General features: G+C 58.3%; 1 protein-coding gene across 3 annotated transcripts in view, besides 6 other annotated features; it reads left to right on the top strand.

Annotated features, from left to right (window-relative positions):
* ATP8B3 (ATPase phospholipid transporting 8B3) overlaps nucleotides 1-15,893 on the top strand; it is a 30,202-nt gene extending 14,309 nt beyond the window's left edge. The window contains exons 15-29 of one of the 3 annotated variants that reach the window (NR_047593.3): nucleotides 963-994; nucleotides 1,089-1,257; nucleotides 1,703-1,891; nucleotides 1,981-2,093; nucleotides 5,833-5,997; nucleotides 6,107-6,218; nucleotides 7,136-7,211; nucleotides 7,979-8,078; nucleotides 8,354-8,607; nucleotides 8,848-9,071; nucleotides 10,782-10,865; nucleotides 12,260-12,499; nucleotides 12,671-12,809; nucleotides 13,022-13,149; nucleotides 14,698-15,893. Coding sequence is in view for 2 of the 3 variants with exons in the window: in NM_001178002.3 (NP_001171473.1) it covers nucleotides 963-994; nucleotides 1,089-1,257; nucleotides 1,703-1,891; nucleotides 1,981-2,093; nucleotides 5,833-5,997; nucleotides 6,107-6,218; nucleotides 7,136-7,211; nucleotides 7,979-8,078; nucleotides 8,241-8,607; nucleotides 8,848-9,071; nucleotides 10,782-10,865; nucleotides 12,260-12,499; nucleotides 12,671-12,809; nucleotides 13,022-13,149; nucleotides 14,698-14,940 (2,381 nt within the window). In the remaining variant the exon portion in view is untranslated. Of the gene's footprint in view, nucleotides 1-962; nucleotides 995-1,088; nucleotides 1,258-1,702; nucleotides 1,892-1,980; nucleotides 2,094-5,832; nucleotides 5,998-6,106; nucleotides 6,219-7,135; nucleotides 7,212-7,978; nucleotides 8,079-8,240; nucleotides 8,608-8,847; nucleotides 9,072-10,781; nucleotides 10,866-12,259; nucleotides 12,500-12,670; nucleotides 12,810-13,021; nucleotides 13,150-14,697 lie in introns of all 3 variants that reach the window. The other 2 variants (NM_138813.4, NM_001178002.3) reach the window with 2 other exon arrangements.
* Nucleotides 734-1,545: an enhancer, noted in NCBI's record as "H3K27ac-H3K4me1 hESC enhancer chr19:1796422-1797233 (GRCh37/hg19 assembly coordinates)". NCBI's record gives its function as "activates a minimal SCP1, AML or CMV promoter by ChIP-STARR-seq in naive H9 embryonic stem cells {active_cell/tissue: H9 hESC(naive)}" and the evidence as "EXISTENCE:reporter gene assay evidence [ECO:0000049][PMID:30033119]".
* Nucleotides 1,546-2,358: an enhancer, noted in NCBI's record as "H3K27ac-H3K4me1 hESC enhancer chr19:1795609-1796421 (GRCh37/hg19 assembly coordinates)". NCBI's record gives its function as "activates a minimal SCP1, AML or CMV promoter by ChIP-STARR-seq in naive H9 embryonic stem cells {active_cell/tissue: H9 hESC(naive)}" and the evidence as "EXISTENCE:reporter gene assay evidence [ECO:0000049][PMID:30033119]".
* Nucleotides 1,844-2,138: an enhancer, noted in NCBI's record as "tiled region #3984; HepG2 Activating DNase unmatched - State 4:PromP". NCBI's record gives its function as "activates a minimal TATA promoter and a strong SV40 promoter by Sharpr-MPRA in HepG2 cells {active_cell/tissue: HepG2}" and the evidence as "EXISTENCE:reporter gene assay evidence [ECO:0000049][PMID:27701403]".
* Nucleotides 1,844-2,138: a silencer, noted in NCBI's record as "tiled region #3984; K562 Repressive DNase matched - State 1:Tss". NCBI's record gives its function as "represses a minimal TATA promoter and a strong SV40 promoter by Sharpr-MPRA in K562 cells {active_cell/tissue: K562}" and the evidence as "EXISTENCE:reporter gene assay evidence [ECO:0000049][PMID:27701403]".
* Nucleotides 7,850-8,672: an enhancer, noted in NCBI's record as "H3K27ac-H3K4me1 hESC enhancer chr19:1789295-1790117 (GRCh37/hg19 assembly coordinates)". NCBI's record gives its function as "activates a minimal SCP1, AML or CMV promoter by ChIP-STARR-seq in naive H9 embryonic stem cells {active_cell/tissue: H9 hESC(naive)}" and the evidence as "EXISTENCE:reporter gene assay evidence [ECO:0000049][PMID:30033119]".
* Nucleotides 9,014-9,063: an enhancer, noted in NCBI's record as "active region_13625". NCBI's record gives its function as "activates an Ori minimal core promoter by ATAC-STARR-seq in GM12878 lymphoblastoid cells {active_cell/tissue: GM12878}" and the evidence as "EXISTENCE:reporter gene assay evidence [ECO:0000049][PMID:35858748]".
* Nucleotides 15,894-16,858: the final 965 nt, after the last annotated feature.

Raw genomic sequence — 16,858 nt, 5'->3', positions numbered from 1 at the left:
CACAAAGGGGTGGCATGCACCTGTTGCCCCAGCAACTTGGAAGGCTGAAGAGGGAAGATGTCTTGAGCCCGGGAGGTTGAGGCTGCAGTGAGCTATGATCGCACCACTGCACTGCAGCCTGGGCCACAGAGTAGGACCCCATTTCTAAGAACAATAAAGCATAAAAAGTGGCTGGGTGCGGTGGCTACGCCTGTAATCCCAGCACTTTGGGAGGCTGAGGCGGGCGGATCACTGGAGGTCAGGAGTTTGAGACCAGCCTGGCCAACATGGTGAAACCCCATCTCTACTAAAAATACAAAAATGAGCCAGGCGTGGTGACATGAGCTTGTAATCCCAGCTACTCGGGAGGCTGAGACAGGAGAGTCACTTGAACCCAGGAGGCTGAGGTTGCAGTGAGCTGAGCTTGTGCCACTGCACTCCAGTCTGGGCGACAGAGCAGGACTCTGTCTCAAAAATAAATAAATAAATAAATAAATAAATAAATAAATAAATAAATAAAAATAAAAAAGAACAAAAACCCCAGGAGGAGGAAACAAAGTGTGTCCCACGGATGGGGCTGCATCCCGCTCCAGGCTGTCCTTTTGGGGTCCCTGGGAGACAGGAAGGGGCCACATCCCGCTCCAGGCTGTCCTTTTGGGGTCCCTAGCCCGCATCCCGCTCCAGGCTGTCCTTTTGGGGTCCCTGGGAGACGGGACGGGGCCGCATCCGGCTCCAGGCTGTCCTTTTGGGGTCCCTGGGAGACAGGATGGGTGTGCTCCCCTCTTCCCCGCTTTCTGCAGGTGGTGGAAACTGAGGTCAGCTTTCGCCCCAAGATTGCTCGGGGTGTCGGTTCCAGGGCCACAGGCCTGGCTTGTGTGGCTGCACCAGTGGCCCCCGGAAGCCTGAAACTAGGGGTCAGGGGCTATGGGATCCCGAATGGGGGGCCTGTGGGAGCTGAAGCAGGAAGCTGTGTCTTTCCCCAGGGCCGGATTCAGAGGCCACGACCCGACCTAAGGTGAGCCTGCCTGGCTTGCAGCGCGGGACGGTGAGGGGGACGGGGCACGGGGAGCGGCCCACCCACAGCCGGCCCGTGCCCCCGCCACCCCCAGGAGAACCCCTACCTCTGGAACAAGTTCGCCGACGGGAAGCTGCTCTTCCACAATGCGGCCCTGCTGCACCTCGTGCGGACCAACGGGGACGAGGCCGTGCGGGAGTTCTGGCGCCTGCTGGCCATCTGCCACACGGTGATGGTGCGGGAGAGCCCCCGTGAGCGCCCAGGTGCGCCCACCCACCTCCCCATCTCTGAGGCCGCTCAGCCCCCGGGGCACGGCAGTGTCCCCAGCCCCGCAGCTCACCCGGCCCATCTTCCAGGGCTTTCAGCTGGCTTGGGGGGCGCTGAGGCCGGTGTGACACCAGCCGCACCTCGAGGGCGTCCGGGCCTGGAGCCCAGACAGTGCTGACAAGCATCGTGGCGGGAGGGCGGACGTGTCATCGTCAGGGCTAAAGGATGTCCAGGCCTGCGGTCGGAGCCCGAGGATCTGTTGTTGAGCGGGAAGGTCGTCTAGTCTCAAGTGCTCACCTCCATGCATTGGGTTGTACAGGCGGGGGTCCCCGGCCACCATCAATAAAGGTGTAGCCCAGGCGATACCCATCTCCTCCCTGCACTGTGGAGATGGAGACGGGCTCCACCACGTGACCCCAAAATGGCCCCCCTCCCTACCAGACCAGCTGTTGTACCAGGCGGCCTCCCCCGACGAGGGGGCGCTGGTCACCGCAGCCCGGAACTTCGGCTACGTGTTCCTGTCCCGCACCCAGGACACCGTCACGATCATGGAGCTGGGGGAGGAACGGGTCTACCAGGTCCTGGCCATAATGGACTTCAACAGCACGCGCAAACGGATGTCGGTGCTGGGTGAGCCCCGCCACCCAAGCCCTGGGCCCCCCAAGGTGGGGCGGGCAGACGGGGAGCCTCTGTGGGCAGCAGGGCCTGTTCCCCCACAGTTCGAAAGCCAGAGGGCGCCATCTGCCTGTACACCAAGGGCGCCGACACGGTCATCTTCGAACGCTTGCACAGGAGGGGGGCAATGGAATTTGCCACAGAGGAGGCCTTGGCTGTGAGTCCCTTCAGGAAGGCTGGCTTATGTGTGTGTGTGTGTGTGTGTGTGTGTGTGTGTGTGTGTGTGTGTGTGTGTGTGTGTGTGTGTAGGGACAGGAGGAGGAGGAGGCAGGGGAGGAGACTGTACGGAGAAATGGAAGGCTGCAGGTACCTGGGATGGCTATGTACAGTGAGGTATGTTGTGCACTGTACAAAACACCCTCCCCCGGCAACACACAAAACACACACACACCGGCTGGGAGGCAGCTGAACTCCCAAGTGTAGCCCCCAGAGAGAGAGCGTCTTTTTCTTTTTCTTGTCTTGTCTTTCTTTTCTTTTCTTTGAGACAGAGTCTTGCTCTGTCGCCCAGGCTGGAGTGCAGTGGCACAGTCTTGGCTCGCTGCAACCTCCGCCTCCCGGGTTCAAGTGATTCTCCTGCCTCAGCCTCCCGAGGAGCTGGAATTACAGGCACACGCCAGTGCACCCAGCTAATTTTAATATTTTTAGTAGAGATGGGTTTTCGCCATGTGGGCCAGGCTGGTCTTGAACTCCTGACCTCAGGTGATCTGCCCCCTTGGCCTCCCAAAGTGCTGGGATTACAGACATGAGCCATCGCGCCCAGCCTGCCTTTTCTTTTTTGAGAGGGAGTCTTGCACTGTTGCCCAGGCTGGAGTGCAATGGTGCAATCTTGAGTCACTGCAACCTCTGCCTCCCAGGCTTAAGCTATCCTCCTGCCTCAGCCTCCTGAGTAGCTGAGACTACAGGCGCCCGCCACCACGCCCGGCCAATTTTGTATTTTTAGTAGAGATGGGGTTTCACCATGTTGCCAGGCTGGTCTCCAACTCGTGACCTCAGGTGATCCACCCGCCTCGCCCTCTCAAAGTGCTGGGATTACAGGCGTAGGCCACCGCGCCCGGCCAAGGGTGTATTTTTCTCATTTGCACAAGACGACCGTGCGGTTGAGCTGGCCCAGCTGCCAGGACACACTCAGCTCCGTCTGCTCCAAAGCTTCCCACTCTGTGGGGGAAGCCCGAACTCCTCGGCCCAGGATTTGAGGCTTTTTCTGTCCCCTGCTGACCTCTCCAGCCTGGTCTCTCTTTGGCCTCACCAAGGGACTCCCTAGGACCCAGTTTCTGGCTTGTGACTTCCCCACTCTCAGGTGCTGCCTTGGCACCTTTGCACATGCTGTTTCCTGTGCTGGGAGGGTCTTCCCTGCACCTTTGTCATTCAGAAGCTTTCGGTGTCCTCATGACTCAGCCACAAGCTCCCCACACATGGGGCCTTTCCTGCCCCACCCCCTGCCAACATGGGGCTGTCATCACCCCAGGCTGCCTCCCCCTGGTCCAGCCCTGACCCTACAGGGCCAGAGGATTCTGCGTCCAGCCTGGGGGCTCCTCACAGGTTCTGCTGGGGCCCCAGCAGCATGGAGCACAGGGCAGCGGGGTGTGTGTGGGAAGATGTCCTGTGTCCCCTGCTCTGCCAGGATGTGGGGGCACTCTGAACTGGAAGTGCGGTCACAATAATGACCTAGAGCCCAGGAGCTCAGCAGGTCAGCTTAGCTCAGCCACCCCAGGGAATGGATGGGTAAATTGAGGCCGGAAGAAGGGTCAAGGCCTGTCGGAGGCTGCCAATGTCCGTGAAGCTCCTCTGCTGTGTCAAGCCCAAGCTCTTGGACCCGTGCCCCATCAACAACAAAAGGGAAATCAGACATGGTGGCGCGTGCCTGTGGTCCCAGCACTTTGGGAGCCTGAGGCAGGAGGATCGCTTGAGTGCAGGAGGTGGAGGCTACAGCAAGCTGTGATCGCACCACTGCACTCCAGCCTGGGCGACAGGGCGAGACCCCTGTCTCTTAATAAACAGGCTGGCGCGATGGCTCACGCCTGTAATCCCAGTGCTTTGGGAGGCGGGCAGATCATTTGAGGTCAGGAGTTCGAGGCCAGCCTGACCAACCTGGTGAAACCCTGTCTCTACTAAAACTACAAAATCAGCCAGATGTGGTGGTGCAGGCCTGTAGTCTCAGCTACTCGGGAGGCTGAGGCAGGAGAATCGCTTGAACCCGGGAGGCAGAGCTTGCAGTGAGCCAAGATCGCGCCACTACACTCCAGCCTGGGCAACAGAGTGAGACTCCATCTCAAAAAATAAATAAATAAAAATAAATAAATAAACAAATTTGAGACCTAAGGCCACCCCTTGGAGCACAAAGCTGGGGGCAGGGTCGGGGGGTAAGAAGCCGTAAGGGCACCTTCCTTGGGGACCCCCCGACCACCCTTGGGGTGCCTGCTCTCTGGGCCTGCCCAGTTTCCTCCCAGCCCCTAGAGGCCCCAACCCTGGGTCTGGCCCTTGAGAAATGAGGGGCCCAAGGAAGGGGCTCAGAGAGCCAAAGTTGAGGGGTCAGAGGGAGGGGCCTGGGACTGGGGGAGCCCCAGCTGGGGAAGGCACCGGGTGGGTGGACTGCATAGAAGGTCTTGAGTGATAGTCAGAATTCGCCATGCAGGCCAGGTGTGGTGGCTTCTGCCTGTAATCTCAGCGTTTTGAGGCTCAGGTGTGCAGCTTGCTTGAGCTCTGGAGTTCGAGACCAGCCCAGGCAACATGGTGAAACCACCTCTATTTAAAAAATATATATATATACAAAGAAATTAGCCGGGTGTGATGGCATGTGCCTATGATCCCAGCTATTTGGAAGGTAGAGACAGGAGAATCACTTGAGCCCAGGAGTTCGAGGCTGCAGTGAGCTATGATTGGGCCACTGCACTCCAGCCTGGGTGACAAAGTGAGACCCTATCCCCCACCCCCGAGAAAAAAAAAAAAAAAGAATTTGCTGTGCAAAGCATAGGGAAGGTGTTCCTGGCAGGGAAACAGTCCTCCAAGAAGGTCTGGAGGCAAAAGAGAGCTGAGGGTCTGGGGGTGGGAGCAGGTGTCTGAGACAGAGTAGGTGGGGAGCAGGGGCAGCTCAGTTTTCTTTTCTTTTTTTTTTTTTTTGAAACAGAATCTTGCTCTGATACTCAGGCTGGAGTGCGATAGGGCGATCTCAGCTCACTGCAACCTCGGCCTCCCAGGTTCGAGGGATCCTCCCACCTCAGCCTCCTGAGTAGCTGGGATTCCAGGCATGCGCCACCACACCTGGCTAATTTTTTATGTGTTTCGAGTGGAGACGCGGTTTCACCGTATTGGTTAAGCTGGTCTCAAACTCCTGGCCTCAAGTGATCCGCCTGCCTCGGCCTCCCAAAGTGCTGGGATTACAGGTGTGAGCCACCACGCCCAGCCCTCTTCCCCGCTTTCTTTCTATTGTTTTTTCTATTTTTTTTTTTTTTTTTGAGATGGAGTCTCACTTTGTCGCCCAGGCTGGAGTGCAGTGGTGTGATCTCAGCTCGCTGCAACCTCCGCCTCCCAAGTTCAAGCAATTCTCCTGCCTCAGCCTCTCAAGTAGCTGGGACTACAGGCACCCACCACCATGCCTGGCTAATCTTTGTATTTTGGGTAGAGACAGGGTTTCACCATGTTGGCCAACCTGGTCTCAAACTCCTGGCCTCAAATGATCCGCCTGCCTCAGCCTCCCAAAGTGCTGGGATTGCAGGCGTGAGCCACCGTACCCGGCCTCAGACCAGTTTTCTGAATCCCTTCTGGCTGCTGTTGGCTGGGGAGGCAACAGGCTTTTGGTTGGGGGACCCAGGCTCCGGAGCCCGGCAGGGGGTTGGGGAGGGCTGAGCCTCGGATGTCGGCTTCAGCATGGTGACAGCTTCCACCTGCCCGGCCCCCAGGCCTTTGCCCAGGAGACCCTGCGGACACTGTGCCTGGCCTACAGGGAGGTGGCTGAGGACATTTACGAGGACTGGCAGCAGCGCCACCAGGAGGCCAGCCTCCTGCTGCAGAACCGGGCACAGGCCCTGCAACAGGTGTACAACGAGATGGAGCAGGACCTCAGGGTGGGTGGGCAGCGGGGGCACCCAAGGGGGCCCTGGGACTCTCCTGCCCCCGCCAGGGAGCTGGACGGCTGCTCAGCATCTTCCCCGCCCTGCCCTCCTCCCCCACCAGCTGCTGGGAGCCACAGCCATCGAGGACAGACTCCAGGACGGTGTCCCTGAAACCATCAAATGTCTCAAGAAGAGCAACATCAAAATATGGGTGCTCACCGGGGACAAGCAGGGTGAGTCCCGGGCAGCTCCGGGTGGCTAAGCCCCTGCAGCATGGGTCTTCAAACTTCCCTGAAGTTTGAAGGCTCACACCTGTCATCCCAGCACTTTGGGAGGCCGAGGCGGGCGGATCACTTGAGGTCAGAAGTTCGAGACCAGCAGGGCCAACATGGTCAAACCCCGTCTCTGCTAAAAATACAAAAATGGGCCTGGCCAGGTGTGGTGGTGCGCATCTGTAATCCCAGCTACTCAGGAGGCTGAGGCAGGAGAATCGCTTGAACCTGGGAGGCAGAGGTTGCAGTGAGCCAAGATCGCACCATTGCACTCCAGCCTGGGCGACAGAGCGAGACTCTGTCTCAAAAAAAAAAAAAAAATGCTGCAACTCTCAGAGGAGCGCAGTGGCACATGCTTGTGGTCTCAGCTACTCCAGAGAAACGAGGCAGGAGGCTCGCTTATGCCCAGGAGGTTGAGGCTGCAGTGAGCCGTGATTGCGCCACTGCCCTCCAGCCTGGGTGACAGAGTGAGCCCTTGTCAAAAAAAAAAAAAGTGATTTTCAGGGTGCCCTCTGTCGGCCAGGAGCCAGCCCAGGGAAACATATTCAATTATTTCCCTTCTGATTTAAAAAGATATTGAGACATTTTGTGGGTTCCTGAAGGCACTGTGGATCCTAGGCACATGTGCCTGCTGATCCTGGCCTCAGACACATCTCTGGGCAGCCCAGTCCCGGCCAGAACTACAGCCAAAATCTCAGGGCTGGCTCTCATTGGTGAGCCTGGGTTACAAGCCCTTCTCTGAACCAATCACCATGGCCAGGGGGTGGGGCATGTGGCTGCCATTGGTCGGGCCAGGATTCACCGGGCAGAGTGGGCGTGGCCCCCAGGCAGCCAGTGCGGGGCGGGTCGCAGAGGCGCTGAGCTGGTCTGCTTCGCAGAAACGGCTGTGAACATCGGCTTCGCCTGCGAGCTGCTGTCAGAGAATATGCTCATTCTGGAGGAGAAGGAGATTAGGTAAGAAGTGGGGAGTTGGGGGGTGAGCAAGGGGAGTGGGGAGGTGAGGACAAGGAGCACCCAGGTGCGTGTCTCACTGGACGGGGAGCCCAAGGCACAGTGGGAAGGGGGGGATTGAGAGGGGAGGGAAGGGTAGGAGGAAGGAGTGTGGTAATGGGGAGTGGAGGGAGCTTGGAGGGAAGGGGGAGGGGCAGTGGAGGGAGAAGGGGAGAGGCAGAGGAGGGGGAGGAGCAGAGGAGGGAGGGGGAAGAGGGAGGGAAGGTGAGGGCAGGGGGAGGGGCAGGGGTGGCGAAGTGGGCAGTGGAGGGAGAGGGTAGGGGAGAGGGAAGGGAGGGGAGGGGAGAGGGGAGGGGAGAGGGAAGGGAGGGGAGGGGGAGGTGCAGGGGTGAGGGAGTGGGCAGTGGAGGGGAAGGATGGGGGCAGTGGGGAGGAGGGGAGGGGCAGTGGAGGGAGGGGGAGGGGAGAGGGAGGGGAGGGGGGAGCAGCGGAGGGGAGTGGGCGGTGGAGGGGGAGGGGAGGAGAGAGGAGGCAGAGGGGAGGAGAGAGGGAAGGGGGAGGGGCAGGGGTGGGGGAGTGGGCAGTGGAGGGGAAGGGGAGGGGCAGCGGCGGGAGGAGGAGGAAAGGGGAGGGGAAGAGGGAAGTGGGGAGGAGAAGGGGCAGGGGTGGGGGAGTGGGCAGTGGAAGGGGTGGGAGGGGCAGTGGAGCCCCCGGGGAAGTGGGGAGAAGCCCGCCCCCTCCCCTGCCCCGCTGACCCCTGCGCCCCGCAGCCGCATCCTGGAGACCTACTGGGAAAACAGTAACAACCTTCTAACCAGGGAGTCCCTGTCGCAGGTCAAGCTGGCCTTGGTCATTAACGGAGACTTCCTGGTCAGTGTCGCTCAGGGTGGACGGCGGGGTCCCGGCGCCAGGGAGGGGCCTGGAGGGGCGGCGGGCTCGGGGTGGGGACTGCTGGCGAGGCCGAGGGCCGGGTAGGGTCCAGTCTGGCCTGGAGGCCACGGCGCCTGGCACAGCCCCCTCCCCGCCGGCCAGGACAAACTGCTGGTGTCCCTGCGGAAGGAGCCGCGCGCCCTGGCGCAGAACGTGAACATGGACGAGGCGTGGCAGGAGCTCGGCCAGTCCAGGAGGGATTTCCTCTACGCCAGGCGCCTGTCCCTGCTGTGCCGGAGGTTCGGGCTCCCGCTGGCTGCACCGCCAGCCCAGGACTCCAGAGCCCGCCGTAGCTCCGAGGTGCTGCAGGAGCGCGCCTTCGTGGACCTGGCGTCCAAGTGCCAGGCGGTCATCTGCTGCCGCGTGACGCCCAAGCAGAAGGCCCTGATCGTGGCCCTGGTCAAGAAGTACCACCAGGTGGTGACCCTGGCCATCGGGGACGGTGCCAACGACATCAACATGATCAAGAGTGGGTGGCGGCGGCGGGGCTGGGGGTGCCTGGGACGAGTGGGGGGCGGCTGACGGAGGCGGTGGTGGGACTGGGGGGACCTGGGGCAGGTGAGGGGGGCGCTGATGGAGGCGGCGGTGGGACTGGGGGGACCTGAAGCAGATGGGGGGGGCTGATAGGGGGCAGAACAGTGCGGGGGTCTGGGGGGGCGGGCGGGACTGGGGGCGTGCGGGGGGCTGACCAGCTGCTTGTGCCCTGCAGCCGCGGACGTGGGCGTGGGGCTGGCGGGCCAGGAGGGCATGCAGGCAGTTCAGAACAGCGACTTCGTGCTCGGCCAGTTCTGCTTCCTGCAGCGCCTCCTGCTGGTGCACGGCCGCTGGTCCTACGTGCGGATCTGCAAGTTCCTGCGCTACTTCTTCTACAAGAGCATGGCCAGCATGATGGTGCAGGTCTGGTTTGCCTGCTACAACGGCTTCACCGGCCAGGTGCGTCCCCCACCCTGGCTGCCCCATGACCAGGGCCTCTGGGGATGCCCTGCCCCTCCCATAGCTGCCAGGAGCAGCCCTGGACGCACTGAGAACCCTGGGATCCTCGGTGGACAGGGCTTGCCTGAGGCCACATGGCAAGGCTGCGTTAGTGGAGGCCTAGAGTCCAGGTGAAGGGAGGTGACGGTCCCTGTCTAGCTCTGTGCCCAACACCTTCCAGGATATTTGTTTCGTTTTGTTTTGTTTTGAGACAGAGTCTCACTCTGTCACCCAGGCTGGAGTGCAATGGCACGATCTCGGCTCACTGCAGCCTCCGCCTCCCGGGTTCAAGTGATTCTCTTGCCTCCACCTCCCAAGTAGCTGGGATTACAGGCGTGTACCATCACGCCTGGCTAATTTTTGTATTTTTAGCAGAGACAGGGTTTCACCATGTTGGCCAGGCTGGTCTCGAACTCCTGACCTCAGGTGACCTGCTCACTTTGGCCTCCCAAAGTGCTGGGATTACAGCGTGAGCCACCGTGCCCGGCACACTCAGAGCTTTCAAGCAAGGGCAGGCACTGCACATGGACCTCCTCTTCTGGGGAGAGTTGAGTGAACAAGACCTTGAACCCCAGAGAAGATCCGATTGTGGGAGCTGGGGCTCTGGTCCAGACTCTGAGCGGTATCCTGACAAGGACTAGAGGAGCCCCAGGGCAGTGCTATTCCCTGCGTGTAGGGAAACTGCTGGGAAGCAGGTGCCTTGGAGAAGGAATGAGCTCCCATCACTAATACCTGGGCATTTGAGAGGGAGCTTTACAGAAACCCCTTAGTAAGTATATATTGGTTTCTGTTTTATTTTTATTATTATTACCTTTTGAGACAGAGTCTCACTCTGTTGCCCAGGCTGTCGTGCAGTGGCATGATCTTGGCTCACTGCAACCTCTGCCTCCCGGGTTCAAGTGATCCTCCTGCCTCAGCCCCTCTAGTGGCTGAGATTACAGACACCTGCCACCATGCCTGGCTAATTTTTATATTTTTAGTAGAGACAGGGTTTTGCCATGTTGGCCAGGCTGGTCTCGAACTCCTGACCTCGTGATCTGCCCATCTCAGCCTCCCAAAGTGCTGGGATTACAGGCATGAGCAATCGCACCCAGCGTTTTTTTTTTTTTTTTTTTTTTTTTTTTTTTTTAGACAGAGTTTCACACTTGTTGCCCAGGCTGGAGTGCAATAGTGTGATCTCGGCTCACTGCAACCTCCGTCTCCTGGGTTCAAGCGATTCTCCTGTCTCAGCCTCCCAAGTAGCTGGGATTACAGGCGCCTGCTACCACGCCCAGCTACTTTTTATATTTTTAGTAGAGACGGGGTTTCACCGTGTTGGCCAGGCTAGTATCAAACTCCTGACCTCAAGTGATCTGCCCGCCTCGGCCTTCCAAAGTGCTGAGATTATAGGCGTGAGCCACCGTGCCCAGCCTGTATCCTTTTTTGATGCCATCCAATTAAAACAAAAACTCAGAGGTGCCATTATGAGGGAATTTGATCATGCTTTCCTCCCTCCCTTTATCTTGCCGCCTTTATCAGGCCGCACTTCACCCCACCCCAGTCCCAGCCCCAACCTTGAGTGTAACTCGACCAGAGTTACCTCACCCAGAACCCTCCCTGGGTGCCTGCTTGGCAGGCTCCTTGGGTGCCTGGAGGCTGACTTGTTCTCCTTGCCCTTCTCCCCCGGCTCAGCCCCTGTATGAAGGATGGTTCCTGGCTCTTTTCAACCTCCTGTACAGCACCCTGCCAGTTCTCTACATTGGGCTCTTTGAGCAGGTGAGCAGGGCAAGGCCGGGTCTTCCTTCCAGGTCTCTGCTTAGCCTCTCCTCCTCTCCTCCGCTCCTTGGGGCGGGGAGAGGGAGCCTGGGAGACCTTCAGGCCATGGGGTGGGGCTCAGGGGGTGCAGTCCAGTACCTCTCCCTGCCCACTGCCATTGACCTTCTCCCACCGGAGCCTACGCTCATCCCGGGGCCATCCAGCTCCTCCTGTGTGTGGGAGCCCCCACCCTGTGCTGGAGCCCCCGTGCCTCTGTCTACCCATCCATGCAATGGGGAGAGAGGATCAGAGCAGATGACTCTGCTAGGTTTATCATCCCCCAGCTCCAAGAGGCCCTGGCTACGTGATCTGGGGTTGGGAGGGTGGGTCACATGGAACGTTCCAGATGATGGAAGTGTCCCACAGCTATGCAATCCAACACAGAAGCCAGCAGCCATACGTGCCCATGAGGAACGCTTGTGTTGCGGCTGGTGTGACCCAGGGACTGGATTTTACATCTCATTTCATGTTTGCTAGAATCTTTTTTTTTTTTTTTTTGAGACAGGGTCTCGCTCTGTCGCCCAGGCTGGAGTGCAGTGGCACAATCTCAGCTCACTGCAACCTCTGCCTCCCGGGTTCAAGCGATTCTCCTGCCTCAGCCTCCTGAGTAGCTGGGATTACAGGCGTGCACCACCATGCCCGGCTAATTTTTTTATTTTTAGTAGAGACAGGATTTCGCCATGTTGGCCAGGCTGGTCTTGAACTCCTGACCTCAGGTGATCCTCCCACCTCGGCCTCCCCAAGTGCTGGGATTACAGGCGTGAGCCACCGCACCTGGCCTTGCTGGTATCTTTAACTGTGGTGGAATACAAATCACGTAAACTGCCCCGTCTCAGCCAGACTCATGCGCACAGCCCAGCATCACCTAGTGCGTTCGTGTGGCCAAGTGACCAACCTCCAGAGCTCTTTCCATTTCATTTTATTTTATTCTGTAGACGAGGTCCCATTCTCTCACCCAGGCTGGAGTGCAGTGGTGCGATCACAGCTCACTGCAGCCTCCACTCCTGGGCTCAAATGATCCTCCTGCCTCAGCCGCCCAAGTAGATGGGATTACAGGTGCGCACCACCACACCCAGCTCCTTTAAAAGGTTTTTTTGGAGATGGGGGGTTTCACTATGTTGTCCAGGCTGGTCTCAAACTCCTGGCCTTAAGCGATCCTCCCACCTTGACCTCCTAAAGTGCTGAGATTACAGGCGTGTGCCACCGTGCCTGGCCTTACTTTATTTTAACTCACTTAAACTCAAAGAGCCACACACAGAGAGTGGCCACCCTACTGGCCTGCCCGAGGAGATCCTGATCTCTGTTGGGTGTCCCCCGCCCCCCACCCAATCCCAAGAGCTTCTGCTTGCCCCAAGGACGTGAGCGCAGAGCAGAGCCTGGAGAAGCCGGAGCTGTACGTGGTGGGGCAGAAGGACGAGCTCTTCAACTACTGGGTCTTCGTCCAAGCCATCGCCCATGGTGTGACCACCTCTCTGGTCAACTTCTTCATGACACTGTGGATCAGCCGCGACACGGCGGGACCCGCCAGCTTCAGCGACCACCAGTCCTTTGCGGTCGTGGTGGCCCTGTCTTGCCTGCTGTCCATCACCATGGAGGTGGGCAAGGTCCTCACCTCCCCGGGGCCTTGGACATGGCCTATGGAGGCCTCCTCCCCTGGGGACCCCTGCTTTGGGGGCATTGCCAGGTGCCCTTCCTGGACCCCAGGGGCTGGTGTCCTGGTGCAAGCCCCGCTAGGCCCCGGATTTACCCCACCGCTGCCTGTCCAGGTCATTCTTATCATCAAGTACTGGACCGCCCTGTGCGTGGCGACCATCCTCCTCAGCCTTGGTTTCTACGCCATCATGACTACCACCACCCAGAGCTTCTGGCTCTTCAGAGTATCCCCCACGACCTTCCCGTTTCTGTGTGAGCCCCCATGGGGAAGTGGGACGGGCGGTCGTGGTGCAGGGGAGCCCCGATGGAAGAGGTTGCAGGTTGCTCATGACAGTCGTCCGGCAAAGTGTCCTGGGGAAGGCGCTCCTTTATGGACCAGGCACAAAGGCACCAAGGCGCTCCCTAGCCTGGGGGCATCCTTGGAGCTGGGGGTAGGCTCTGCTGTGACCCCGCCCTGTCCCCAGATGCCGACCTCAGCGTGATGTCCTCTCCCTCCATCCTGCTGGTGGTCCTGCTGAGTGTGTCCATAAACACCTTCCCTGTCCTGGCCCTCCGAGTCATCTTCCCAGCCCTCAAGGAGCTACGTGCCAAGGTGAGGTGGGCCTGGGCCTGGGGTCCTCATCTGGTACATTCCAGGACCCTGGTTGGGGAGCCGTGCAGGGCGTAGGGACTGCAAGGTGTCCCGGCCCCTCTCGGCCCTCCAAGACACTAGGCTTGGGGGAAGGGTGGGTGCGGAGCCCCGGACACACGCCCAGTGCCCCCGGGGCCCGATTTCCCAAGAAGGGAGACCTCACTCCCCCGACAAAGCAGCAGAGAGCACCCAAACGCCGCCCTGGATTCCAGTGCTGATGCCATCGGGCTCTTAAGGTTTTATTTATTTATTTATTTTTACTTTTTGAGAAGGGTCTTGTGCTGTCACCCAGGCTGGAGTGCAGTGGCACAATCTCGGCTCACTGCAGCCTCGACCTTCCGGGCTCAAAGGATCCTCCCACCTCAGCTTTCCAAGTAGCTGAGACCACGGGCATGTACCACCACGCCCAGCTAATTTTGTAGTTATTTTCTAGAGATGGAGACTCATTATGGTGCCCAGGCTGGTTCAAACTCCTGGGCTCACGCAATCCTCCTGCCTTGGCCTCATAACATGTTGGGATTTCAGGCATGAGCCACACTGTGCCTGGCTGACACCATCAGATTCTACCGTGAATGATCTAGAGCTTGGGGGTTGAGATGACGGAAACAACCTTGAAATGGTTTAGGCAAAAGGAGGAACTTAGAAATAAGAGTCTGTTGACAGATGAGTGGGTCAACACGGCACGCTCCATCTGTGCAATGAAACACGCCTGAGCCGTGAGAAGGAGTGAGGCTCTGACACAGGCCACAGCGTGGATGCACCTTGAGGACATGTGCTCAAGGCCAGGCGCAGCGGTTCACACCTGTAATCCCAGCACTTTGAGAGGCTGAAGCAGGTGGCTTGCTTGAGCCTGGGAGGTTGAGGCTGCAGTGAGCTATGATTTTTGCCACTGCACTCCTATCTGGGCAACAGAGCAAGACCCCACCTCAAAAAAAAGGGAGGGGACTTACTAGCCCACGTAACCAAAGCATGCATGGAAAAGCAAGTTGCAGCTGAGATGGGCCCCAGAATTGACTGGAATGGTGTACCTGCCCTGCCACCTCTGTTCTCCCTGCCCAGCTCCTGCCACCTTTACTGCACAGGCTGGGCACCTGGCTGTCCCAGGCTCACCTCTCCTGGATTTGCCACCAAAGGGCAGCCAAGGCACCTGGTGGCTGGTCCAGAGTCGGGGAAGGACTCTGATTGGCTGAGCCAGGGTTAAGTCCCAGGGAAGGACTCTGATTGGGTGGTCCCGAGTTAAGTCCCAGGGAATAACTCTGATTGGCTGATCCAGGGTTAGTTTCCAGGGCAAGGCCAATTAGTGGGTCTTGAAAAGCAAAGGACTAGAGTCCTCCTTAGAACTCAACACTGAGAGTCGAGGACTCTAATTGGCTCAACTTGGGTAGGGAAGAACGTAGCCAATCAATAGTGGCCAAGGGCTTTGAATCCTGCCTCTCCTACTTGGGGGACCTGAGAGCCATCAGCCAAGCATAGGAGTCTGCTTCCCCTGCTCTCCCCTTTGCTCTTCAGGAGGAGAAGGTGGAGGAGGGCCCCAGCGAGGAGATTTTCACCATGGAGCCCTTGCCTCATGTACACCGGGAGTCTCGTGCCCGCCGTTCCAGCTATGCTTTCTCCCACCGTGAGGGATATGCAAACCTCATCACTCAGGGCACAATTCTGCGGAGGGGACCAGGGGTCAGCAGTGACATAGCATCTGAATCCCTAGACCCATCTGATGAAGAGGCAGCTTCGAGCCCAAAAGAGTCACAGTGACACCTCAGGAAGATGTCCTTCCTGGGGAAGAAGAAGCACCAGCCACAGGGGCAGGTGTCCTCCCAGGAAGTACAGCTCCCCCCTACACCTAGCTCATCATTTTCTATGGATAGACAATCCGCTCTTCATCCAGAAAACCAACCTGCCCTCCCCAAATATGTGCTCACCAGCAGCAACAGGCTATCTGAGTCTTTCCAAGAGCAATTGCCAAGGGCACAGGAGAGGTCATTGTCACCCAAGCAGAGGCCACCTTCTCCTGAGAAGTTGCTGTTGACCAAGGAGAGGTCACATTCTTTTCAGGAGAAATCACTGTTGCACAGAGAAAGCCAGCTGTCGTCATTTGAGAGCCAGCCACAGCCTCTGGGGAGCCAGTCATTTCTTTCAGGCCAGCTGACGTTGGAGAGCCAGCCAGACTCCTCGGAGGAGAAGTCAGCATTTTTGAAGCCCTCCACACCGTTCCGGAAGAGCTGGCAAAAGGAGCCTCACACCCCCAAGGAGGGGACGGTGCCACTTCCAGACAAGACCCACAAATCTCAGGTGGAGACTCTGCCACCAAGTCTGGAAGAATCGTCCACGTCCACGAGCGAGCAGCCTATGGAGGTGGAGCTGTGGCCCGCGGAGAAGCAGTCATCATCATCCATGGAGTGGCTGCTGGTGCCCGGGGAGGAGCAGCTATCCTTGCCCCCAGAGGAGCAGTCATTGCCCTCTGCGGAGGGGACCAGGGTTCAGCAGTGACGTAGCATCTGAATCCCTAGACCCATCTGATGAAGAGGCATCTTCGAGCCCAAAGGAGTCACGCTGGCATATCAGGAAGATGTCCTTCCTGGGAAGAAGAAGCTCCAGCCAGTTCTGCTGCAAGTCAACCAGCATGCAGGGGGCCTTCCTCTAAAGACAAGGACTCCACATGCTTTTCTTTTTCTAATAAACCAGGGTCCATCTGACCCCAGCGCTAATTCAGGCTCCCTCTTTCCCTACACTTTTTTTGTGATGGAATATTCCTTCCCGGTTTTTAAAATCAAAACACTGACCTCTAGTGGTCCAGCCGGGTATTTGCAGGGAAAACTTTCCTTCTTCATGCTGGGGTAAGATAATGTGGGTAAAGCTTCATTGCTCTCAAAAGTTGCTTATTAAAAGCTGTGGCTCCCCCGCTGCCTGACAGCTGGCCCCTCCCAAGAAAGTTTATAAATTCCAGTTCTTGTACCATCTAGCTTCTTCCTCTATCGGGAAGCCCTGGTTTCTCCCATTCAAATACACCTTCATTCACTGGGGCCTCCGTTCACTTTAGACTCCAGAAAGCAATGAGCAGTGATGTCACAGAAGCAGGTCCTGACAAGGTGTGCATCTTGGGGCTTGGTTGACTCAAAGGCGCCAAGCTTTTCCTTCTAAGGCGCCAAGCTTTTCTTTCTGATTCTTTTTTTTTTTTTTTTTTTGAGACGGAGTCTCACTCTGTCGCCCAGGCTGGAGTGCAGTGGCGCGATCTCGGCTCACTGCAAGCTCCACCTTCCGGGTTCACAGCATTCTCCTGCCTCAGCCTCCTGAGTAGCTGGGAATACAGGCGCCCACCACCATGCCTGGCTAATTTTTTGTATTTTTTAGTAGAGACGGGGTTTCACCGTGTTAGCCAGGATGGTCTTGATCTCCTGACCTCGTGATCCGCCTGCCTTGGCCTCCCAAAGTGCTGGGATTACAGGTGTGAGCCACCGCGCCTGGCCTCTTTCTGATTCTTACCATTCCCTGTGGGTGGTGGACTTGTGTGGGTGGTGGAGTTGTGTGGATTGTGGAGGCTCAGAGCTGGCCACTGGCCCAGGAAGAAGACGGGACTCAGAGCAGAGAGGGGCGAGCTGGGTGGAAGCAAAGTCCGTCTTCCCTGCACTCCGGTCCTCCCTCCCCAGCCTCGAGGTGGGCGAGTTCCATTCCC

This window comes from Homo sapiens, chromosome 19 (genome assembly GCF_000001405.40).
Source record: "Homo sapiens chromosome 19, GRCh38.p14 Primary Assembly".
Classification (NCBI taxonomy): Eukaryota; Metazoa; Chordata; class Mammalia; order Primates; family Hominidae; genus Homo; species Homo sapiens.
Note: the sequence above shows the minus strand (reverse complement) of the source record. Positions and strands in the feature narration are given on the sequence as shown.